This window comes from Homo sapiens, chromosome X (genome assembly GCF_000001405.40).
Source record: "Homo sapiens chromosome X, GRCh38.p14 Primary Assembly".
NCBI lineage: Eukaryota > Metazoa > Chordata > Mammalia > Primates > Hominidae > Homo > Homo sapiens.
The window spans coordinates 10017727-10044175 of NC_000023.11; the positions used below are offsets into that span (position 1 = coordinate 10017727).

The 26449-nt window shown below is 44.7% G+C and overlaps 1 protein-coding gene across 1 annotated transcript in view, besides 2 other annotated features; it reads left to right on the forward strand.

Moving 5' to 3' along the window:
* The window catches only part of WWC3 (WWC family member 3), a 129221-nt gene that overhangs the window by 2473 nt on the left and 100299 nt on the right, over nt 1-26449 (forward strand).
* Nucleotides 22984-23518: an enhancer, noted in NCBI's record as "OCT4-NANOG-H3K27ac hESC enhancer chrX:10008750-10009284 (GRCh37/hg19 assembly coordinates)". NCBI's record gives its function as "activates a minimal SCP1, AML or CMV promoter by ChIP-STARR-seq in naive H9 embryonic stem cells {active_cell/tissue: H9 hESC(naive)}" and the evidence as "EXISTENCE:reporter gene assay evidence [ECO:0000049][PMID:30033119]".
* Nucleotides 23519-24051: an enhancer, noted in NCBI's record as "OCT4-NANOG-H3K27ac hESC enhancer chrX:10009285-10009817 (GRCh37/hg19 assembly coordinates)". NCBI's record gives its function as "activates a minimal SCP1, AML or CMV promoter by ChIP-STARR-seq in naive H9 embryonic stem cells {active_cell/tissue: H9 hESC(naive)}" and the evidence as "EXISTENCE:reporter gene assay evidence [ECO:0000049][PMID:30033119]".

Sequence of the window (26449 nt, forward strand, 5' to 3'; positions counted from 1 at the left end):
TGTTTTCCATGTATTTCAGACACATTTCCTATATTCCTTTTTTCCAGAAATCGATTTGTTACTTTTCAGACAATCACTTAAAGGTTTTTAAAAAGTCTCCGTTCTGATGCTAAAATTGTCAATTGAGTCAACAAAAGTGGATATTTTACCTTTTTTTTGTAAAGTAAAAACGTGTGTACTTTTATGAGACGTTGTTTTTATAGTGAGTGAAAATTCAGCAGGGGACAGCTTGAACTTCAGCTCCCATAATACCTTGCCCGAAATATGTATGGAATGTTCAGCAAGCCACAAACATTTAAGTGGAGTCGGCTGAAGGCTGTAATAGTCATTCTTCTTCCTCTTTCAAAACAGAACCTGGCCGAGTTTTATAGGTGGCGGGTTACCCTTTAAAGTTGTAATTAACTTTTATTATATGGGAAGAACTGCATGTCAGAGGGCAGTGTTTTCTCCATGCGCATCTGACAGTTAAAACCCTTTTTGAGTTGCTTTTGAGTCACACAGGAAAATGGTATTCAAGAAATACGAGGACTTTCACCAAACAGCTTCCACATAGAGACCTGACAGGAGAAAGGCAAATACATAATAGCTTTTTTTTTCTCTTTAAGAAAATGAAATTGTGGTGGAATAAATGAATGTAGTAGGTTAAGTGAAAATTGTTGTTGACTTTAAACATAATTTCATATAAACTTTAGTAAAAACTGTATAGCATAAAATATGGTCCAAGGATTGTAAACAAAATCTCTTCTTGAGTTTTATAGTAATTCCATTCAGTGTTGTGTTTAACATTTGATAGTGCCGGCTCAGAGCCTGTTGGTGAAATTATTGTAACTGCTTTTTAAAGTTACAACAAAGAAGATACAAGGAGACGTCTTTACGGATGTGGCTACAGATGTATACACAATCTCAATATTTTAAAAACAATTTTTTAGTTTGATTATAAGCCTACCTTTGGTTGGCTGGGCGTGGTTGCTCATGCCTGTAATCCCAGCACTTTGGGAGGCTGAGGTGGGTGGATCACTTGAGGTCAGTTCAAGACCAGCCTGGCCAACGTGGTGAAACCCTGTCTCTACTAAAAACACAAAAATTAGCCGGACGTAGTGGTGTGCGCCTGTAGTCTTAGCTACTTGGGAGGCTGAGGCAGCAGAATCACTTGAACCCTGGAGGTGGAGGTTGCAGTGAGCCGAGATCGCGCCACTGCACTTCAGCCTGGGTGACAGAGAGAGACTCTGTCTCAAAAAACAAACGAAAAAACCTACCTTCACTTTAAATTCACTATTTCTATAGATTGATACTGTACATATAATTTTCATAGTTAGTTTACTGGGAATCATACCCAAGAACTTGGTTAAAAACTACAAAGTTAGGCCAGGCGTGGTGGTTCATGCCTGTAATCCCAGCACTTTGGGAGGCCCAGGGGGCAAGATTGCTTGAGTCCAGGAGTTCGAGACGAACCTGGGCAACATAGGGAGACTCTGTCTCTACAAACAAATAAAATAATTACGTGGGCGGGGTAGCGTGCGCCTATAGTCCCAGCTACTCAGGAGGCTGAAATGGGAGGATTGCTTGAGCTGGGGAGATCCAGGCTGCAGTGAGCCGTGGTCATGCCACTGCACTCCAGCCTGGGTGACAGAGTGAGACCTTGTCTCAAAAAACGAAACAAAACCCCACACCAAAAAAAAAAAGAAACGAAAAAACAAACTACAAAGTTAACTTATTTCTATGGCTGGTAGTTTCCTTACATGAGTCTTGTGTGGTTTACATTAGTGGCACACTAATATCTTAACTGAATATATTAACTCAGAATAACTTGACCACCTTATGAAAAGGTATTTACCATTGGGCAGAAAATATGGGAAGAACATTTTTGCCCCCTTTGTAAAGATTCACTGTCTTTGACAGTTGTGTTTACGTGTGTGTCTTGCAGGGTTATTTGGGTATTATCCTATAGATGGACTGAGTGTTTGAAACCTCATGTTCCATTTCCTGTAGCTCAGGTGGAGTTGTACGGTACTGGAAATGCCAGCTCTGGGCAGCTTAAGTATGGTGGACGATACCATATTTGAGATCAAAGTATAAATAATCATGCGGATGGCGGAAGAGCAAGATCATGTCATGGCATAAGCTTTTGGGGACCCATTTGTTCACCAGATGGGATTTGACCTGTGCTTCATGGAGGAATTCTGTGGTATCTTAAAAGTCTTCTGAAGATGCTTTTGCTTTAAGAGGAAAACAATCCATAGCTCTGGAATTTGCTAGGTTGGATCCCCATTTAACAGCCAAATAACATCATTGCTACCTTCTTGGAACCTTTATTTAGTTATTCAGTATTAACTAATAGGAGGTTTACTATATTCATCCCACAGAGTCTATTTTTGGACTATATAAACTGTCCTGGTTGAGCTTTCTGATAAACAGGTAATGATTTCTCCCTTTTTCTTTTTTTAAGGTTATAGATAGTGTTTGTATGAACATGGGGGAGCATCTTGTTTTTAAGGCTGTAAGGGGTCAGTCCCTGGAAGAAGCGGCTCTTGCTTCCATTTAGATCATCAATCCTCATTTTTTGGTCTAACATTTTTTGGTCTTTTCCTTTCCTTCCATTTATTTGTTTATTTATTTATTCATTTATTTATTTTTTAAAGAAAAGTGAAAGGAAAAGTAATTCATTTCCAAAAATAGCTCCTGGATGTTTGGAAATCTCCAAGTTTCCTTCTCCTTCCTTTCACTCTGATTTGGGAAGTGGAAATAACACGTATCACCATCTCTAGTTAGGTTCTACTTCAGGAGCCCATGGGTCAGGAACATGTTCATGGTCATCTGGTGAGCCTACGGTAGGCTTCTTGACTTCCATTCCAGATCCTTTTGCTAATGGTGTCTATCTTTCCCATAAATTCAATAAAACAAATCTGATGGAATAAAAGCAAAGTTAAATTCTACTGAGTTCAGTTATCCCTGTTTAATAAAGTGAAGAAATATTTGTGGAGAGTCTTGGCCTTCTGTGTGCAGGGACAGTATGTGGAAACCAAGCTGGTCTGGGAGGTGGCACACAGACACATAAAATGAAGATAACAATAGTTGCAAGGCATCCCAGGATTGATTCAGTTTCTCGGATAATGATCACTTCAGAGAAAAGGTGGGCTCACTTGAGCCTGGGGTTGTCTTTTTCCTTGCCCATCCTTCTGGGTGAGGGGTTCTAGTGCTTTTCCAGCAGTAGAAAAGCAAGATCATCTATAGGATGATCCACTCAGTCCATCTATAGGGTAATACCCACACAACCCTGGAAGACGCACACGTAAACATAACTGTTAAAGACAGTGAATCTTTACAAAAGAGGCAAAAGTGTTCTTCCCATATTTTCTGCCCAATGGTAAATACCTTTTCTTTTCTTTTCTTTTTTTTTTTAAATGGAGTCTCACTCTTGCCCAGGCTGGAGTACAGTGGTGCGATCTCGGCTTACTGCAACCTCCCCTTCTTGGGTTCAGGCAATTCTCCTGCCTCAGCCTTCCAAGTAGCTGGGATTACAGGCGTGTACCACCACACCTGGCTAGTTTTTGTATTTTTAGTAGAAACAGGGTTTCGCCATGTTGGCCAGGCTGGTTTTGAACTCCTGACCTCAGGTGATCCGCCTGAGGTGAGGCCCGCCTCAGCCTCCCAAAGTGCTGGGATTACAGGCGTGAGCCACCGCGTCCAGCCAGTAAATACCTTTTCATAAAGTGGTCAAGGTACTCTGAGTTAATATATTCAGTTAATGTATTAGTGTGACACTAATGTAAACCACACAAGACTCATGCAGGGAAACTACCAGCCATAGAAATGATAAGTTAACTTTGTAGTTTGGTTTTTGTTTTTTTGGTGTGGGATTTTTCTTTCTTCTTTGGAAAAAAAAGCAAGATCTGGGCAAGATAAGGGGAACAGGAGAAAAGTGCTGGCCTTGAGGAAGTGCTGGGTGTGTTCGGAATAAATGAGGGAATGAGTCAACTCGAGTGACCCAGAGCTGTCATGTAAGGGAGGTAAGACTCAGGCCAGAGCATGTAGCTCAGGGTCCCACAGCTTTGGGGCTGGAAGAGCTAGGATCATCTTGTTCAAATTCCTTTTTCTACTTGACAGCCACAGCCAATGGGTATGTTCTGCCGGCTGCTAGAAGGGCAAGGGACTTGAGCTGGGTCTTCTGACCCCCGTTTGGGTGCTCTTTCCAGAATGCCACCCAGCTGCCCAATCCACACAATTTTTAAGCATCCTGCCTCTGTTCATTCATTTATTCATTCATTCAACAACTGTTTGTTGCACAATTTCTGAGTCTAAGGCACTCTTCCAGGGTTTGGGACTCCAGTGTTGAGCAACACCAGACAGGCTGCCGTGGGGCTTACCTTGTGCTCGTGTCCTTTTCCACGAGGCCTCACCATGCTGTTCCTGCCTGCTGGTTTCTCCCTGCGGGGATCCCTTGGCTCTGTGATTGTGACAGATACATGCGGAATGCACTAGGCTTTTGCATGGATGTTTTCTTTCTTTTTTCCTGTATCAGCTTTTTCAGGTTGAATTGCATGAATGTTTTCATCGAAAGCCCATGATGGCTGCATGAGGTGTAGGCGATCATGTGATAAAACTGAGGCCAGGGGAGATTGACTTAGTAGCCTCACTTCCTATAGGCAGTGAGGTCAACATCTGTTCGACTTCGGAGTTGAGCCAGGTCCCCTGCCTGTTCTTGACTGTGCCTTGGCTAGGTAACTGTGGCTAGGTAACTGTGCGTGCCCCTTGCACTTTGCTATACTCATTAGTTATTTTGATCTTGCATTCATTATTGTTTGATATTTAATCCTTCCTGTGGTATAGTGGCCCCTCAAAGATGTCCACGTTGTAGTCCCTGAAGCCTGTTAATAAGTAACCTTCCATGGCAAAAGAGACTTTGCAGATGTGATTAAGTTAAGGATCTTGAGATAAGGAGATGATCCTGGATTATGTGGGTGGGCCCGATGTCATCATAGGCATCCTTACTAGAGGGAGGGAGGAGGGTGAGGTCAGAGTCAGAGATGGAGATGTAACAACGGAAGCAGAGGTTGGAGTCAAGTGGCCATGAGCCAAGGAATGCAGGCGGTCTCTAGAAGCTGGAAAAGACAAGGAAATGGACTGTTCCCTAGAGCCTGCAGATGGAACGCAGACCTGCTGACACCTTGATTTTTGCCAAGAGAAACTGATTCTGGACTTCTGACCTCCAGAACTGTAAGATAATAAATTTGTGTTGTTTTAAGCCACTCGGTTTGTGGCAATTTGTTACAGCATCGGTTTGTGGCAATTTGTTACAGCATCGGTAGGAAACTAACACCCCCACATGCATTGTTATCTCAGTGAGAATGGAAGCATCTGGTCAGCTTGGTGTCTGCATAACAAACACAGCAGCGGCTGACATTTATTACATGCTTAGGCAGGTACTGTGCGAAGCATTTTACATCTTTTTTCTCTCCCTGGCTTCTCACAATACCCCCAGAGGGTCCTCGTTTCTTGTGCAAGCATGGAGAGTCACTCACATTGGGACTCGCATCAGATGTGCTGTACCAAAAACATATTTGATGAGCTAGCTAAATGTGGGGGTGGGGAGAGGTAGGCTTTCTGAGAGAAGAGGCCAGTTGGAAACTAGTGGAGGTTTTCTCAGGTGATCACAGGCCTGAGCTAGAGCGATCAGGGGCACTCGGGCTAGAAAAGGCAGGGATTGTGTCAGAGACATTGTGAAGGAAACATGGTGTAGAGGACTTAGCTAATGCTTGAATGAAGGCAGGTGAAATCAGGAGGGCTGCTGAGGAATCTTACTGGCACCTAAGGAGGAGCCGGGACTCACTGGGGCCAACCGAAAATCCTTCTATTAACCCCACTCAGAAGCTTTCATTGGTGGTGGTGGTTTTGTGTGTTCAGTAACTCCGTTACATAGAGAAACATGTTAAGCTGTTCAAGTTACTGTATTGCTGATGGGCAGTGTCCTAAAAGGTGTCCAAACCAAGAAAGTGTTATTTTTGTTTTATTTTATTTTTGGAGACAGGGTCTTGCTCCGTTGCCCAGGCTGTGTAGTGCAGTGGCATGATTATAGCTCACTACAGCCTCCAGCTCCTGGGCTCAAGCAATCCTGAACGTGTTACTTTAGACCAGGGTTTCTCAACTCTGGTCTAAAGTAACCCTGGCGGTGGGGTAATTCCTTGTTGTTAGGGCTGTCATATGTAGCATATGACGTTTAGTAGCGTCCCTGGTCTGTTACCACTAGATTGAGATATTAGTAGCAAACTCCCCACCCTCAGATGTCTCGAAAATGTCTCCAGACATTACCAAATGGCCCCCGGGGCGGGCAGTATCCCTTGGCTGAGAACTGTCTGAGCTACCTCCATCCACCTGGTTACAATGCTTCATCTTTAGCTGCTGAATTTGTTTCAAGCCTGTTGTCAGTTCCTGAGATACTATGCAACAGAGACCTGATTTCTGTGTTTCCATGAACAAATTTCAAACATATTTATGTGAAAAACCCTGAACCAGTATATGAAACTGGGAACATATATTACTATGAGTGTATTCTTCAATTCTTAGAATACTCTCAATTGATAGGCATTTACTGACTGTCAAGAGTATACATATATGCAGTGAAACAGAAGAAAATGCATCTGTTCACACTGGTGTTCTGCAGCAACCTGGAGAGCTGGCCTGGCCTTTTGAATGTGTGTGTGTGTATGTGTGTGCGCGTTTGTGTGTGGAGGGAGAGATCAGGCTGCCTAAGATGCTCCGAGCCATTCAGTGCCCCGAGCCATTCGGTTCTCCCTTTGGTTCGGAGGAAGGAGGGGTGAGAGGAGTGGAGTGCTTCTGCCTTTGCTCAGAAATTCTACAAATACAGAGCAAGGACATCTCGAAAGGCCGCTTATGGAGCTGTGGGATCTCCAGCATTTTTCATCTGGAGGGTTCTCTTTTCATTTCTTTAAAACTGAAGGGACTGAGAGAGAGCATGGGGAGGAGGGAGGGATGTTGATGTTGAGAATGAACGGGGGAGATGGCTGCACCAAGCCTGGGATCACCAGCCCCACAGTGGCAGTGGGTGGATCTTTGAGGCAGGCGGAGGTGCCCCAAGTAGCTCCTCTGCCCGAGGCTCCGTGCTCCAGGAAAGAGGGCATCTACCAGCTTGGGTATGGTGTTTCCAGGCGGCCCGGAGCTCGGCCAGGAGACCACATAGTCACTGCAGGAGACTTGTTCTTTCTGCCACTTAGAGCTCTGTCCTGTGGACGGGTGCCTGTCCCCAGCATGGGGGAGGCCTTGGAGTATGGGGTCAACTAGATTTACCTTAAACATTATTTCCATTTTTAAAAAATTGAGATACTATAAAATTTACCTTGGGCACGGTGGCTCATGCCTGTAATCCTAGCACTTTGGGAGGCTGAGGCGGGCGGATCACTTGAGGTCAGGAGTTTGCAACCAGCCTGGCCAACGTGGTGAAACCCTGTCCCTACTAAAAAAACAAGAAAAATTAGCTGGGCATGGTGGTGGGCACCTGTAACCCCAGCTATTCGGAAGGCTGAGGCAGGAGAATCACTTGAACCCGGGAGGTGGAGGCTGCAGTGAGCTGAGATCGCACCACTGCACTCCAGCCTGGGCGACAGAGTGAAACTCCATCTCAAAAAAATGAAAAATAAATAAAAATAAATAAAAGTGTACAATTTAGTGGGTTTTGTTATATTCACTAGATTGTGCAACCGTCACCCCTATGTAGTTCTGAATACTCCATAAAGAAACGCTGTGTTCATTAGCAGTCAGCCCCCATACCCCCAGCCCCTGGCAACCGCTAATCTGCTTTTCATCCCTATAGATTTGCCTATTCGGGACATTTCACAGGGACCTCCCTGTATATTTCTTTGCAACTTCCTATGAATCTGTAATTATTCCAAAATAAAAAGTGAAAAAGAGATTGAGAATGAAGGAACCAAGCAGAGATCTAGTTATTTATAATTGAAAAATAAATTTAAATAATCTCATTTAGATTTTATTGTGTTTTGTCTATATAGTACTTAGCATATAGTAGGCCCTCAATAAATGTTTGCTGAATGAAATTATGCATGTAGAGACAGGTTTTATTGATTTATAATGATCATTCTGTATTGCTGTATTTCACTGACTTTTCCTCATGTACACTATTCTGATGTTCTCAAGAGCAGTCCCTCCTTGTAAGCTGTCAGAGCACCCATTTTATTGGGGTGGCCACACCTTCTCTCGGCTCTGGAGTTACGACCTTGTCTGTACTTCCTGGTGATGTCCTGATTGCCCTAAGCCAGTGGGTCTCAACTGAGGATTCCCTCTTCCTTCTCCCTACACCCAGAGCATTCGGAAACATTTGGAGAGATTTTTGATTGTTAACACCTGGGGGTAGGTTCTGCTGGCATCCAGTGGGTAGAGGTCAAGGATGGTGCTGAACATCCTACAATGCACAGGATCGACCCCACCACAGCAATGAATGATCCAGCCCCTAATATCAATAGTGCCTGAGATTGCTCTAAGCCAATCATACAGCATCCGGGCCTGCAATTGGCTGAGGCAGGAGCACATGACTCAGACCTGGTCAATGAGCTGTGAGGGGAGGTATGAGACAGGCATGGTTGGGGAGAAGGCTCCTTGTCCCCATAGACCTACGTGGAAGGAACTTCTGCTAATTGATGCTCTGTCTCCATGGAAACCTGGAGGTGGGCAGCCACACTGATGCCCCCAAAACTAGGAGGGAGCTGGCTGAGAAGCTGAGGGTGGTGGAGTGGAAAGTCTGTCTTTGATGAGGTGGGTGGATGGATGAATTAAGCTTTGGTAGCTGTCTGCCTTCAGTACCTTTTCTTACGCTAAACGTGGTAACAGCATCATCTTATCCTTTAGAGCCAGTCGAATTAGAATTTCTGTTATTTGCAGCCAGCTAAGGCATTCTCACTCGTGTGTTTTCTGTTCCTTGCCGCCCCATAGTTTTCATGATTGGCATAAGATGAGAGGTTTAGACTGCCACTGAGCTGCTGTCCCCTCACTTATTAAATATTCCTGTCTTTTTCACTCTGATATTTATGATTATATAAGTACTAAAATTATAATGGTCCCTATGTGCAGTTATTTTCTCTGTAGTTTTGTTTTTCATGTTTGTCTTAGGAGATAGTTCTAGGCATGGAATGAATAAAACCCAATTTTTTTGTTAATTTGTTTGTTTTAATATATTTTTATTTTGGAATATTTTAGAGTTACAGAAAAGTTGCAAAGATTAGATGGTTTCCCTGTTGTTAACATCTAATATCACCGTAGTATATTCTGTGGTGATGTTTCTTTGTCAAACCTAAGAAGCCAGCCTTGATAACATTACTATTAACCAAACTCTAGACATTTGAATTTTACCATTTTTTCCAGTAATGTTCTTTTTCAGTTCCAGTGGTTTTTTAGAACTATTAAACTCTTGATATTTGTATGGTTCAACCTAATATTTCTAAGTTTGTCCTTCATCTTTGTTTGGTGAGTATTCTTTTGTGCAGTTGACAGCCTTGTTAGATTTGCTCCAAGGCTTCATGGTAGAGTGCAGGGATTCTAAAGGATTTTGGAATCATGGACCCTGGGAAATCTGACACAAGGTAGGGATTCTGCGTTCAGAAAAAGGTACCAGCACACAGAAGCTTGCATATGCTTTCAGGAGGATTAGAGCTCTCTGGAAACCCAGCTGTGGTTCCCAGAATAATGGAGGCTTGGTTTGAAATGAGCAGACACCCCCAGAGATGTCTGCCATGCACTCACTCTGTATTGTTGAATGAATGCACGCTCACATATTCACCATCACTAGCGTAGGTGTATCATAAAGGATTAATTCAACAGTGATTCAGGGAGAACCTTCCGTGCTTTCTCCACTTCTTCCCCTCCCTCATATCCAACCCAGCTTTAGACTGTGGTGTGCAGCCACTGGATACACAAGTACTAGATAGGTTTCACATGAAAAGGGGAGCTGTGGATGAACCTCAAAAATGTGACACTAAGTGAAGGAAGCAGATGTGGACACAACATAATTATATGATTTGATTTTTGCAGAGTGTCCAGAGAAGGCAAATCCATGGAGATCGAAAGTGGATTAGTGGTTGCCTGGGGCTGGGGGTGAAGAGTGTGGTGACTGCAGTTGGGCACAAGGGATGTCTTTGGGGTAATGGAAACGTACTGAAATTGGTTTGTGTGTTGCATAAGTCAGTAAATTTATAAAAAACATTGAATCTTACATGTAAAATGGGAGAGTTTATGATATGCAGATTATACCTCAATAAAGTTGTTTACAAACATTGTTTTGTTTGTTTGCTTGTTTTTAGACGGAGTCTCACTCTGTCACCCAGGCTGGAGTGCAGTGGCATGGTCTTGGCTCACTGCAGCTTCTGCCTTCCGGGTTCAAGCGATTCTTCTGTCTCAGCCTCCCGAGTAGCTGGAACTACAGGCGCATGCCACCATGCCTGACTAATTTTTGTAGTTTTAGTAGAGACGGAGTTTCACCATGTTGGGCAGGCTGGTCTGGAACTCCTGACCTCAAATGATCTGCCTGCCTCAGCCTCCCAAAGTGCTGGGATTACAGACATGAGCCATTGCACCTGGGCGTTTACAAACAATTTTTAAAGCAAATCTGTTTTTAAATTCAGGTGGTTACCTTGATTTGGTAGTTGGAGAAACCAGACTATGTAGATTAGACTTGGCAGCCTCTAACCACGCAAAAAGCTTTTTCGGGCTTCTCGAAATGTCCATACAATTTCCAGGGAAACTTGCCAAGAAGCCACATGTTAACATTGCCCAGGAGTCTTGCCAACTGTAAGGGGAGGATACCACCATGTAATAACCCGCTAATCATTACTAAATTAAAAATATAGTGGGTTTTTCACTAAGGCAACTAACTTTTTCATTGAGGCATTTATCTAATAGGGTGACTCATTAGTACCACTATTTGTTTTATAAAGTTGAGTGATATCTGGTTACCTGGCAGTATTTGGAGTCAAGTGAATTTTGTGAATAAATGACCAATTGATACTTGGCCTTTAAATATTAACATTTTTTCTTTCACATGTTTATTTCAATGTTTAATATTAGAAGTGTTTAGGAGTCTTTATTTAGAAGTTTGGTGATGTTTTTGTGACCAGAAATAGGCTGTAGGAATTTAACTCTAGTTAATACCAATTAGCCTGTGGTCAAATTGGTTTCCTTATGTGTTGTTTCACTTAAAGTTATAGTTTCCATGGAACTATTGAAAACGTTAGTGAGGACTTACTACTTACTGTACCACTAACTGCAGGGACTACCTAGGTGTGGGTAGCCCTGATTTCAGACATGGACAGCTTTGAGTCTGACTCGGGACTGCTATTTGCTGTGTCTCCTAAGGCAGGTTATTTGGGCTCTCTGAGCTTCAGTTTCTTCTTCCATAAAATGGGGGCAAAGCATTTGCCCTCTGGGTTGTTTTGAAGGCTCTAAGATTAGGTAAGGATCTTAGGTGAGTGTCTGCTGCAGAACAGGCACTCACATGTTCTTTGTCCTTGTGGTCATATTACATACTCCTTCAGCTTTGGGATACCTCAGCATATTTAGTCTTCTGCTTATCAAAATTCCCTCCCTTAGCTGGGTGCAGTGGCTCATGCCTGTAATCCCAGCACTTTGGGAGGCTGAGGCGGGTGGATCACTTGAGCCCAGGAGTTTGAGACCAGCCTGGGCAACATGGCAAAACCCTGTCTCTACAAAAAATACAAACAATAGCTGAGCATGTCCCTGAAGACCCAGCTACTTGGGAGGCTGAGGTGAGAGGATTGCTTGAGTTTGGGAAGTAGTGGCTCCAGTGAGCCAAGATCGTGCCACTGCACTCCAGCCTGGGCAATAGAGTGACACCCTGTCTCGAAAAAATAAATAAATCAATAAAATAAAAAAAAAATCCCTCTCTCCATGATTCCACTTCTGCTTCTGAGTTGCCTCCTTATTTTCCTTGTAGTTGGGTAGCACTGGAGGCTCAGCAGTGTAAAGACAAGGGCTCAGAGTTTATGATAACTGTTTTTCCTCACTAAGCAACTGTTCTTTGCATTCTCATGATTTTGTGGCTGGGGAAGCGAAGTTGCTGGAAGTGAAATGTTACTAAAGAGAGATAACAGATTAGAGGAGAGCCATTGAGATTTTTCTGTCAAGGGCCAGATAGTAAATATCTCAGGCTTTGAAAGCCATAGGATTCTCTCTCTTTCTATTATTTTTTTTTTTTTTAAACCCGTAGGACTTGTGAATGAAGGCCATGGAGATTCTGTTGCAACTGCCCGACCCTGCTGCTGTAGTGCAGAAGCAGCCATAGACAATACAGAAACAAACAGGCCTGGCTGTGTTCCAATAAAACTTTATTTACAAAGACAGGAGGCAGGCTGGAATTGACCCATGTGCAGTTTACCACCCCATGATTGATGTCATTTGTCATTCTTTTTTTTTTTTTTTTTTGAGACTGAGTCTCACCCTGTCGCCCAGGCTGGAGTGCAGTGGTGCGATCTTGGCTCATTGCAACCTCTGCCTCCCGGGTTCAAGCGATTCTCCTGCCTCAGCCTCCCAAGTAGCTGGGATTACAGGCGCACGCCACCACGCCAGGCTAATTTTTTGTATCTTTAGTAGAGACGGGGTTTCACCATGTTGGCCAGGCTGGTCTCGAACTCCTGACCTCATGATTTGCCCACCTCGGCCTCCCAAAGTGCTGGAATTACAGGCGTGAGCCACTGTGCCTGGCCGATGTCATTCTCGTTTACTAATACAGTCTTGCACCGAAATGATGGACTGCATATACACTGGTCGTCCCTTAACATTGTGATGCCATATTTTTACTGTACCTTTTTTATGTTTAGCTATGTTTAGACACACAAATACTATTGTGTTACTGTATTGCCTATAGTATTCAGTACAGATTTGTATCCTAGGAGCACTAGACTCTACTGCATAGCCTAGGTGTGTAGTAGGCTGTGCCAGCTAGGTTTGTGTAAGCCCGCTGTGTGATGTTTGTACAGTGACAGCATTGGCTGACAATGCGTTTCTCAGAACATATCCTCATCATCAAGCAGTGCATGACTGTACAGCCAATGCTTTTGTGTCACACACTTTCATTATCGTTGCATTAGCTTGGCCACAAATCTGAAAATACTCTGAGTGTGTATAGAATTATACTGATTTCTAGGTGTGATGTCATAGTATTCTGGAACTTGGAAATTGTAGCACTCAGTGATGCTAGAGACTTAAAAAAATTCACATTATATGATTAGACTTTGTTTCATAGCTAGCAGTCACTTAATACTGGACAGATGTTAAGAATAGAAGTTGGCTGGGTGTCGTGGCTCATGCCTGTAATCCCAGCACTTTGGGAGGCTGAGGCGGGAGGATTGCTTGAGCCCAGGAATTTGAGACCAGCCTGGGCTACACAGGGAGACCCTATCTCTACAAAATATTAAAAACTATCTGGGCGTGGTGGCACATGCCTGTAGTCCCAGCTACTCGGGAGGATTGCTTGATCCAGGAGTTTGAGGCTGTGGTGAGCTATGATCGCCATTGTACTCCAGCCTGGGTGACAGAGCAATACCTTGTCTCAAAAAAAAAAAAAAAAGAATTGGACAAGTTGATTCAAGATCAAGATCTTCAGCCACGTCTCAGCACCCTCGTACAAAACCTGGGAGGCAGTTGTCATATGTGTACCGACAGCTTTTGGATGTATATTTAAATGTGCGGGTGAACTTACTTTTGGAACAAAATGAAGTTTGCCCAAATTTCTGTGCTGTTTGGGTCTCGGATGGAAACTCTCAGAGCTCAGAGTCAAGGGTGGCATGGGCAGCTTGTCCATGTGGATGCCTGGGAAAGTCCTTGCTTTTGTGGGGTCACGGACCAGTGGTGGGAGATGGGAAAGTGGGTGAAGCTAGTTAGAAAGAGGCAGCAGAAGACAGTGAACAGTTCATACAGAGTTGGCTTCAGTGTATTGCTGGCAGCATGTGCCCAAGGCTGTAAAAGATCTTCCCATCCTTAGGTTCACAAATGCCACTAAAATAGTGGTAACTCTCAGGCAGGTGTGACTGTGCCCCTTGGGACATTTGCACTGTCTGGAGACATTTTTTGCTGTCCCCACTTGGGGGGGATGGGGTGCGTCCTGCTGGCACCTAGCGGGTGGAGCCCAGGGGTGTCGTCCACACCTGCCGTGCAGTGTGGCCCCCCCATAGAGAGTGAGCTGCCCTGAGTCAGCAGAGCTGGGGCTCTGGCTCACACCTGCTCCAGGCCTCCAGCAGCGAGCTGTTCTCGTTGGCCCTTGCCCTTGTGGGTCTTCCGCTGCAGTGGTGGCAAATAGCAATCACTGAGCGTGTCACCACATTACAAGGTGCAAACTGGCAGGGTGAGGTTGGTGGGACTGTGTGGCTGGGTGGGTGACCGTTTTGTGGAGAGCGGCTGGAGAGGCCTTATTTTTCAGGTGCCTGCAGGAGGGGAGGAGGGAACCTGAGGTGTCTAGGGTCAGAGGCTTTCAGGGAGAAGGAGCTACAGGTGCTAAGATGAGAGCAATGGGCCAGGAGGAGGATGATGGGGTCAGGCGGTGGTGGCAGCACCTCATGAGCCACTGCAGGGACTCCAGGTGTGACTCAGCAATTCTGTTGGGAGCTATTCTGTTGGGAGACTTAACATTTCATTGAGGTCGCTCTGACTGCTGTGGGGGACTAGGAGGGCAGGAGCTGAAGCAAGGAGACTGGTTTAGGAGATGGCAGCTGCCCCCAGGGCTGAGCAGTGGTGGCTCAGGCCAAGGAGGAGGCAGTGGGGTGGCTTCCTGAGGACCTGGACCCTGCGATTTGGTCCTCTCTCTGCTTCACCCCAGCTCCTGAGACCCTCCCTCAGAATCCTTGCTGGCTTGAGGAGTAAAGGGTTCTGCCAAAGTGGATATCAAGGCTGTCATGGGTGGATCAGCAGAGGAGCTGGGGTTTTTTCCCAGACTGCTTCTCAGTTTTGCTGCTGGGGCTATAAGGAATTCCGTGGAACAGGAAGTGTGCAGGGCATGCATGATGTGCCTGTTATTTTAGCAGTGGGGCTGTGTCCTAAAAGACAGCGTCTTTGGCCGGGCGCGGTGGCTCATGCCTGTAATCCCAGCACTTTTGGAGGCTGAGGCAGGCAGATCACCTGAGATCAGGAGTTCGAGACCAGACTGGCCAACATGGTGAAACCCCATCTCTACTAACAATACAAAAATTAGCTGGATATGGTGGTGCACACCTGTAATCCCAGCTACTCGGGAGGCTGAGGCAGGAGAATCGCTTGAACCCGGGAGGCAGAGGTTGCAGTGAGCCAAGATCATGCCACTGCACTCCAGCCTGGATGACAGAGTGAGACTCCGTCTCAAAGAATATTCATATGTGCTTTTGGAATGCCTGTGTAATGCTTTAATCAGTTTAGAAACTGATATTTTATTATTATTTAAAAAAAAGAAGTGGTGATCGTTTGCTTTCTAACGGCTGGGATGGTGTGGATCTAAAATGGTAGGGCTTGAAGTCCACGGTGGCCAACTCTACAGCGCTTTTAACACTTTTCCCCCAGGGGAACATTGTACGTTTTCTTCAGGAGCACTGTGACACTGTTTGGTTTGCCGTAGATAATACGGATTCAAAAGGCATTCCAGATACATCATTCTGTGATTGACCTGGCCGGGTTAACCCAAGATTGTCACCTTGTTATTCTCAATAGTAAAAGCCAAGGCTCTGAAAACCACCCCACTGAACGCATATCATAAACCTCCAAAATGTCACCATGGACGTGGCATATTGACAAAAATGTCAAGGATTACCAAGAATAGCTTCTTGCATTCACATGTAGTTACAGGCGAAGGACAGAGTAGCTCTTGCATTTAAAATGCGACTGCAATGGCCAGAACCAATAATTCCTGTTTGAACAACTCCCGGCCCTCAGCTTTACCTCAAGGCTTTAGATAGACTTACTTTCAATTTTTGAAAAGGAACACATGTCCTTATTATGCTTTAGAATTACTAATAGAGATAATTCTCTTTGTTGTGCTATTTGCTACTCAGCTCCTTTTAAAAGATAGATGACACTGAAGTTTTACGTAAACACATGACTGATAAAATACTTGTTTTTCCTGAGTCATTGTCAGTGTCTCAGCTCTAAACCTAGTGCCAGCTCAGTAAATATTTGATGGAATCCAAAGTCTGCATTTTCTTAAGGTGGGCCAGTTTTTCTCTTGTTATATAAAGTAGAGAAACATACCACCTTCTTCCCATTTATTTAGGAGTGGTTAGTAGCCCTTCTCTCATCTGTTGGGGTGGTCATCCCTTTTCTGCATCAGTGAAAATAACACCCTATCATTTCACTTCAAGCACAAATGCTACTTTTGTCTCATTTTTGGAGTTATAAAACCATGTGGATTAATCCCAACCAGGTGGTGGGGAGCCAAAGCTAAGCTGTTTCTTTCACCTCTGACCCGCGCGATTAGTTTGTGGAAGAACGCTCTCCAAACCCATAGGAAGTTCACAGACAGCTTGGATTCCTCAGAGGGTCTTCGGTATCGATTGTGTAGCAGAAAAAGCAAGCATGCCTCTGGGTCTTTCCTCTCTTCTCCATAGTCTTTTTTATGTCTAACTGGTGTTGGGTTGCTTTACCTCTCCACCCATAGTTAAAGAAAGTGAGTATCTTGGCATGTTCCAAACTACTGAAATAAATGAAAATCAGGAAATTTTCCATGAAGCAAACCAATGACATAATGGTACCTCAAGCACAGGAGTTACTGGAATTGGTTTTGTGAAGTGGTTGGCCGGTAATGTTTGCAAAGCTGGGAGGTGTAAGAAGTGGTTGGGTTTTTTTTCTCACCAAAAAGACAGCCCTACATTAAAGTTATAGTTCTCATATTAATGAATGGGTTTTAAAGAAACTGATGTTCTTCAGTTCTTTTTTTCCTCCCATGACTTGCTATGAAAGTAAAGATGAAACAAAAGTATGACTGTTAGGCCATGAATCTGTTACTAATTAGGTCTTATGCTTACTGGGATCAAAAGATGGGATCAAAGTAAGAACTCTCCAGAAGCAAGAAAAAGAAGGTGCTGGGAAAAGGCGTCAATTGCAGCATAGTTTGTTTATAAATGAGCAAATGAATTGTATGTACAGCGATCCTTCATAGTAACTACCTCTACTCCAGCGGAGGTGTTTAATAAAACAATGTCTTACCATCTCTGACCACTGTTACTCACACCTGATTTCTGGAATGCCTATAAGAACTCTCGACAATGAAAAGAATCGGAACATGATAGGCTTGAAGCCACAGGCATCATTTCTATTTTGAGGTCGGTCTTACTCCTTAGATTTCCCACACGAATAAAAAACATTGGCCCATCTGCAGTCATGTGGCCGAGTCCTTCCTGCTGAATAACATCTCTAACCACAGATGGTAGCCAGCTCCAGGTTAGATTGTTCTTTCTTTTGTTGAGCTGCCCATGGCTCCAACTGAAGTTTACCTGCCCATCTGGTCTTGTTGGTACTCCTAAGAGCCCATTCATATTTGACCTTATTTGGTGTTCTTAATGAGCACACAGTGGTCTGCTGATTTGTGACCACCACTCTGTGGTTTGTTTGAAGACTATGCGGACTAAACTGTGTCCATCATTCTGGGGGCATGATTATGAATCCACTCACTGTTCTGGTTATGTTGCTCCTGAGTGCCTCATATCTGTGATGTAGCCATTACCTTCATTTTCTGAATGTCGCACATCTACTTACATTGTTTTAAAATGCACATTTTCTTTTCTAGGAAGAGGGAGCAGGCAGGAATGTTATACACTTTATCCATGATGAGTGTAGCAGCAGGTGAAACCCTGAGGTGTTGGCCACAGAAGTGCTTATATATATATATCTCATATATATATGAGATATATATATTTGAGACAGAGTCTGGCTGTGTCACCCAGGCTGGAGTGCAGTGGCACGATCTTGGCTCACTGCAACCTCCGCTCCCAGGTCCCAGTGATTCTCATGCCCCAGCCTCCTGAGTACTTGGGATTACAGGCATGCGTGACCACGCCCAGCTAATTTTTTGTATTTTTAGTAGAGATGGGGTTTCGCTATGTTGCCCAGGCTGGTCTTGAACTCCTGGCCTCAAATGATCTGCCTACCTCAGCCTCCCAAAGTGCTGGGATTACAGGCATGAGCCACTCCACCCGGCCCCCACTTTTATATTGAAGGTTGTGTATACATGTATACAGTATCCTAACCTGGTGCTTTTCAATCCTAGCTGCATTTTAGATTAACCTGGGAGCTATATATTTGTGTTTGTGCCATCCTAGGAGGTTCTGATCAGCAGGGCCCAGGAAGCCCCCTGACGTCCGTCTTTCCTCCATTAAAAAAATCAAGGTAAAATTAACATGACATAAAATTAAACATGGTGAAACCCCATCTCTACTAAACACAAAAATTAGCCGGGCTTGGTGGCATGTGCCTGTAGTCCCAGCTACTCAGGAGGCTGAGGTGGGAGAATCACTTGAACCTGGGAGGCAGAGGTTGTAGTGAGCCACGATCTCACCACTGCACTCCAGCCTGGGTGACAGAGTCAGACACCCTGTCTCCAAAAAAAAAAAAAAAAAGGAATATGAAATTAAACATTAAACACTAACTATTTTAAAGTGTACAATTCAGTGGCATTTGGTATTGTCACAGTGTTGTGCAACCACTACCTTTATCTAGTTCCAAGACATTTTCATCACCCCAAAAGAAGACTGTGTACCCATTAAGCCGTCGCTGCCCATTTCTCCTTATCCCCAGCCTCAGCTGCCCATTTCTCCTTATCCCCAGCCTCAGGCAGTTACTCACTATTCTACCTTCTGTCTTTATGGATTTGCCTATTCATGCAGGAAATCTGAGGAGCGAGATCGATCTCAAGATAGAAATGATACCTGTGGCTTCAAGCCTATGATGTTCCAGTTCTGTTTATTGTAGAGAGTTCTGTTCTTACAGGTATTTCAGAAATCAGGCATTAATAATAGTGATCAGAGGTGGCGAGACATTGTTTTATTAAACAATTCATGTTAATAGAATTATAGAATATATGCCCTTCTGTGGCTTCTTTCACTTAGCGCAATGTTTTCAAGATTCATCCATGTTATATTGTAACGTGTCAAATATTTCATTACTTTTTTTTTTTTTTCTTGAGACAGAGTCTCACTCTGTTACCCAGGCTGGAGTGCAGTGGTGTAAATCACAGCTCACTGCAGCCTTGACCTCCCAGGCTCAAGCAATCTTCTCGCCTCAGCCTCCTGAGTAGCTGAGACTACAGTTCCATGCCACCACTGTTGGCTAAACTTCATTCCATTTTATGGCCAAGTAATATTTCATTGTATGGCTAGGCTACGTTTACATTTTGTTTATCCGTTCATCATTTGGTGGACATTTAGGTTGTTTCCCTCCTTTTGGCTATTGTTAAGTGCTACTATGAAATACAGGTAGAAGTATTTGTGTCCCTGTTTTCAGGTTTTTAGGGTATATACCTAGGTGTTGGATTGCTGGGTCATATGGTAATTCTATGTGTAAGTTTCTGAGGAACTGCCAGGCTGTTTTCTAGAGTGGCTGCACCTTTTCTTGTTTTTGTTTTTTGTTTTTTGTTTTTTTTTTGAGATGGAGTCTCGCTCTGTTGCCCAGGCTGGAGTGCAGTGGTGTGATCTCGGCTCACTGCAAGCTCTGCCTCCCGGGTTCACGCCATTTTCCTGCCTCAGCCTCTCGAGTAGCTGGGACTACAGGCGCCTGCCACCACGCCCGGCTAATTTTTTGTATTTTTAGTAGAGACGGGGTTTCACTGTGTTAGCCAGGATGGTCTCGATCTCCTGACCTCGTAATCTGCCCACCTCGGCCTCCCAAAGAGATGGGCTTACAGGTGTGAGCCACTGCGCCCGGCTGTGGCTGCACTGTTTTACTTTCCCACTGGCAAAAGTATAGGAGGGTTCCAGCTTTTCCATGTCCTTGCCAACACTAGTTATTTTGCATGTTTTTTTTTTTTTTGGCTTTTTAAAAAATGGCTAACCTCGTAGGTGTGAAGTGGCATATCACTGTGGTTTTTTAATGTGCATTTCCCAATGACTGATGAAGTTGGGCATCTGTTCATGTGCTGTTGGCCATTTGTATATCTTTTTATTTTGAAAAATATCTATTCAAGTCCCATGCCCATTTGAAAATTAGTTTATCTTTTTGTTTCTGAGTTTTAAGAGTTCTTTATATATTCAGACTAGAATATATAAATGTTATAAATGTGACGAGAACATGACTAGATACCTATCACATAAATGAATTTCTTTCTTTTTTTTTTTTTTTTTTTGAGACGGAGTCTCACTCTGTCGCCCAGGCTGGAGTGCAGTGGCACGATCTGGGCTCACTGCAAGCTCCGCCTCCCGGGTTCACGCCATTCTCCTGCCTCAGCCTCCCGAGTAGCTGGGCCTACAGGTGCCCGCCACCACGCCTGGCTAATTTTTTGTATTTTTAGTAGAGACGGGGTTTCACCATGTTAGCCAGGATGGTCTCGATCTCCTGACCTTGTGATCCGCCCGCCTCAGCCTCCCAAAGTGCTGGGATTACAGGCGTGAGCCACCGCGCCCAGCACATAAATGAATTTCAAGTGGCATCCTTTTTTGAAAAGTGCTCCCAGTGGGTTCCATTAGCAACCAGGCTCAAGAATGGGACCAGCGATTCATTCCTTGGGGCTTCTTACAACACACCTGGGAAGCTTTCTTAAACATAGCCCCTGTCCCTCAAGCCACTCAGGTGATTCTGATAATACATCCCCACCCCAAAGGGAGCAAACGTAAAACTAATACATGGCAAAGCAGTTGTTAAGGTAACCGGTGACCTGACTGAACAGGTGACATCAAAAAGAGAATCCTATGTTCAAAGGGAAATTTTGAAAAAAGAAAAAAAAAAGAGAATCCAGTGGCTCTGTAGAGAATCAGCTGCCATCAGCTTCCTGCTCCCTGTTCCCGGAATGCCCTTGCAGAGCATTTGTGAAATGTGCAGTAGGCTGCCCTTTGTCCTGATGGTTCATGTGACAGGGTGGCCCAGCCCCTCGAGGTGCCATCAAGACTTGTCATGTTGTCAGACCTCTCAGGAGGTGACACTTTGTCCACCTGAAGGGCACCCTGGCATTCATGCGTAAGCCCTTGAACGGTGCAATGCTTAGTTCTGTGGGGACTCGTCTGGTCGGGAGAGCACTCTCAGTACTTGTTTGAAATGTCCCTTTAATCATGGCAATGTGGCATATTGAGGTTTTCTACCATGAAGAACAGTATCTTTAGCCTGCTTTGCCCCCACCCAAAGTACCCTTAATTCCAAAGGATGGCTGAGGGCTGGGCTCAAAACTGAGAAAGTGGGATGGTTCCGGGGCTGTTGGTGGAGCTTTCTAATGAAAGAAGTTCTCCATCTGATAGGAAGCTGAGCATGGGGGCAGGAGAGAGAGGGTCCCCAGGGTTTTCTGCCCCACAGGAATCTCTTATGAGGAAACCCCATCCATGGATCTGGGATCCACCCTGGTGGTTCCCTTGTTGCTTCTGGGTCCATAGGGGCGGGAGAGCCTACCGTATTCCACGTGAGTCGCTCTTCCTTCCTGTCACCTTCTGCACCAGTCCACAACCTGGACCCTCTTTCCCCACCCTTGTCTCCTGCTGGTCTAAAATGAGTTACTTATGTACAAACGTTGGGAAGAACATAGGGATTACTGAGACCAGATATTGATATGTGGGAAAAGAGAAGAAAAAATAGTGCTTCAAAGGGCTTCAGTTCCATATAAATGCATGTGTTTTCTTAAATTCCATGTCAGGGCAAAAGCTTTTTTATTTTTATTTATTTATTTATTTTTTTTTTAGCAAAACATTTTTTTGCTGTGCATTTTCTATAGGATTATCTTATGTACATCATATTCAGTGTTACAGAGAAGAAGGCAAAGGAAAATCTGTTTCAGTCTCTTCGTCAGCCATACATGTCACACATTAGCACATGCTCTGTATACCAGTTTTAAAGATTGATTACTATTTCAAAACCATCGCCTCCCTCCAAAAAAGGAGAGGCTGGGTCTGGTGTAATTGTTGCATTTTACTGTTTACTCCATGCAGAAGCACATCACGGTGAAATGTACTTAGTTTATGTATTTGGCTGGCATTTTTCTTTTCTCTCTTCTCTGCCAGACTTTATCGTGTCAGGGGTTGCCCTCAGTTATCCTGTTTCTCAGAGCTTTTCCTGCACTTGGCAAATGGCAGTGCCCAGTCTTCCACAGCTGGGTGGATGAGTAATTATTTGATGACAGTTCTGAAGACACTTTCATCATTCAAGGTGGAATTCCTAGTTTGAAAAACAGATGCTGGTGAAAATTACTCATCATGTGCCCTCCATATATGGTTCCTGTTTACAGTATAGGAAAAAACAAACAATAAAGGCTTCACCCCAAGTCAACCAGATATGTGGGCATTTTCCTCACACACCAAGCAATTCTCCAGTGGATACCAACTGGCATCCTCTAATTCAACTCACTTCTGATACCGTCTACCTAGAGTTAGAGTCAGATCCCACAGGTTAAGTTCCACAAGACTGCCACCCACTTCAAATGCCAGTCACAAGTAGTAGACTGTCACCCCTACTTCTGACTGACCAGCTATGAATCAGGATCTCCACAACCCCCTCCTTGGTTTTGATTAATTTGTGAGGACTGCTTACAAAGCTCAGGGAGACACGTTCCCCAGTTTATTGCGTGAGTAAAAAGTATGATAAAGGATACAGACGAACAGCCAGATGAAGAAACACACAGAGGCCTGGAAGGCTCCTGAGCACAGGAGCTTCTGTCCCTATGGAGTTGGGATGCACACGGATGCGTCTGCCAACCCGGGAGCTCTCTGAACCCGGCACTTTAAAGGGATTTTTGTGGAGGTTTCATCACGTAGGCATGATTGATTATTAACTCAGTCTCCGCCTTTCTCCCTCTCTCCAAGCCTCCAATCATGGCTTGGTCTTTCTGGTGCCCAGCCCCCATCCAGGAGCCCACCAAGAATCACCTAATTAAAAAAGACCTCCCATCACTCAGGAAATCCCAAGGGATTAGGAGCTCTGTGTCAGGATTCCAGGGTCAAAGACGAAATATCAGAACAAAAGATGTACCTAGCACCCCTATTGCTCAGGAAATTCCAAGGGTTTTAGGAGCTGTGTGCCAGGACCCTGGAGCAGAAGCAAATATATTTCTTCATTTGCCACAATATCACACTTCTGACCCTGCTCACCTGGAATCTTCCTTGTCCATTTAGATGCCAGGCACGTGGGGGACAGATGAATATTTACCTGTGAGCATCAGTCATACAAGTGGTTCTAAACCTGGGCTTCCAGTTCGAATGTAGCATTTCAGAAATACTGCTGCCTGTGTTCCACCACAGACCAGTTAAGTCCCCATCGAAATGGCCCCTGGCCAGGGTGGAGATTCACTGGCTATGGGACTCCATCTTGCTCACAATAACCAGTGAATGTTTGTTGATCATTTCAACCCCTTAATGACCTTGGAAACTAGAAATGGGGTTTGTAAAGGGGAAAGAGGTGGAATAGCTATAAATGCCACGGTATTATTTTTATGGAATGGGAGTGGGAGTGGGGCGTGGGTAGTGAGGCTGGGGCTAAGGTTTGATGTTCTGCTGACCATAAAATAATTTGTATTTGTGTCGAGTAGCTTTCTCCTCTCAGCTCCCATGGCTGTGTCCCTGCCTTTGAGTGAATCTGTTGTGTAGTGGTAATTTGTTATGTATTTGGTCCCCCGGTGAGCTGAATTCCTTGAGGTTAACTCCTGGCACTGAGCATCTCAAATAGCTTTCCTGCAGTGAATATTTAAACAAATGAATAGCACTTTGCAGTTTTTTCACAGTGCTTTTCCTAGGGTGCGGTCCCCAAGCCCTCTCATCCTTAGCCAAGATTACATGCCCGAGGCTTGTGAGCATCATTTAGACCAAGCTTCATGCATGCCTTGCCTAGCAGGAGCTCTCTGTACATACCATCTGTTTGCCAGGAAGACTGCCCACCTCTGTGCCTTGGCATGGTCATTACAGACAAATGCCCACTGGGGTTGGGCCTACAACCAGATGGCAAGCTGTCAGAGGGGTAACAGGGAGTGGTGGGGACTGTGGTGAACTAGCGAGCAGCCCCTTCTAAAGGGATGGCTCTAGTCAGCTTTAGCCAGTTACCGTCTTTGGGCACTGTAATCCCTATGTGCCAACCCTTCTGATTTTCTTTTTTTAATTTAAAACAATTTAAGGAAGATGGGGTCTCCCTATGTTGCCCAGACTGGTCTCGAACTCCTGGGCTCAAGTGATCCTCCTGCCTTGGCGTCCCACAGTGCTGGAGGGAGCCACTGTACCTGTCCGCTTCTGATTTTCAAGGGAGTTAGACATTCTGGGTTTTGAAATGAAATCTGAGTTTTAATGTTGGCAGCCCGTTGAGGTTTTGGTAGAGCACCCTAGGGCCAACACAGCAAACCAGGCAGAACACTTCTGCAGTGCAGGTGGCCCTGGGCAGCCTTGGAGTCATGTGGTTCCAGCTCTCGCCACCTGGCTTGCCCCTCTCTAAGGCAGAGAGGAGCAGAACTCAAAAAAATTCAGTGATGGCTGCACTTGTCCTTAGGGATCATGGGAAGAGGAGGCTATGTTAGATTCTGGGTAAAAGCTTCCTTTTAAAAAATGGCTTTTAGTTTTGTACACACACCACAATTCCACCCACTTCCCTACTGACAATTACAGCTGTATTGGGGTGTCTTCTCTAGTCTTTTTTCTTTTTGTAAAGAAAGAAACCAAAATGTGATTATATATCAAGTAATTTTTTTTTTTTTTTTTTTGAGACCGAGTCTTACTCTGTCACCCAGTCTGGAGTACAGTAGCGCAATTTCAGCTCACTGCAACCTTCGCCTCCCAGGCTGAAAGTGATCCTCCCATCTTAGCCTCCTGAGTAGCTGGGATCACAGATGTACGCCACCATGCCTGGCTAATTTTTGTAGAGATGAAGTTTCGCCATGTCGCCCAGGCTGGTCTTGAATGCCTGAGCTCAAGCAATCTGCCTGCCTCGACCTCCCAAAGTGTTGGGATTACAGGCATGAGCCACCGTGCCCGGACTTCAAATAATTTTATAGCCACCCTTTCTCCTAACGATTTAGCCAAAGTACTCCCAGGTTATTACAGTGTCTTATTTAGCATATTTTGAAAATTATCCCAGGTAGACCTCACCAACACAGGAGTTCTGGTTTTGTGTTTTTTTTTTCTCCATCCACAGCACCTAACGAGAGCCTCACATGTAGCCAGGTATTCAAGGACTAACTCTCGATGATTGTTGCTATGCAGTAGTTTGTTGGATCACATCCTGAGCATTGGACATTGGCTTGTCTCCTTTTTTTTCTGCTATTATAAGTAGCACTGTGATGTACCTGTTTATATGTGAAGCTCCTCACGTATTTTAGAGAATGATCAAAGGTGATACTATTAGCACTTGGGGCTGGGTAATTGTTTTTGTAGGGGCCGCCCTGAGCATTGGAGGATATTGAGCAGCATCCCTGGCCACCACCCACCCGATGCCAGGAACTCTTCTCTTCTGTAGTTAGTTATAACAAACAAAAGTATCTCCAGACATTGTCAAGTATCCCCCGGAGGCAAAATGGTAGTTGAGAATCCCTGCGCTAGTGTAATTAGTGGACTGTGAAGGGTGCCAAAGTCTTAAAAGATTTTAGACCTTAAAGTATGTGCTGCTTGGGGAAAATACTCTAGTGAACGGTTGTCCACTGCCTCTGCCTGCTCCTTTGTTTCCGCCACACTCCTTCCCCTGAGGGCACCGGGTTCTCCCACTGTTCTTGACACTGGAGCCGGGCTGTCTGTCTGTGTGTGGTTGGGCTGCCGTAAGAGTACCACAGGCTGGGGGCTTCAGCGACATGCATTTGTTTTCTTGTGGTTCTGGAGGCTGGAAGTCCCAGATCCAGTTCCATCTTGGTTGGTTGGTTTCTGGTGTGGACTCTTTCTGGCTTGCAGATGGCCACCTGCTCACTGTGTTCTCTCAAAAGTGGATGGGGGCCGGGGAGGGGGGCGGCGCCGAGAGAGAGAGAGAGGGGGAAGAGAGAGAGAGAGCGAGCGAGTGCACTTGGGTGTCTCCGCTTTCTATAAGTGCACCAGCCCTATGGGATTAGGGCCCTCCACTCATATGACCTCATTTAACCTTTATCATCCCTTAACAGGCCTTATCTACAAATGCTTTGGGGTTCAGGTTTCAACATGAATTTTGAGGGTACCCAGTTCAGTCCATAGCATTCCACCCCTGGCCCCGCAAAACTCACATCCTTCTCACATACAAAATATATTCATTCCATCCCAACAGCCCCAAAAGTCTTAACTCATTCCAGCGTCAACTCTAAAGTCCAAAGCCTCATCCAGATCTCGTCTAAATC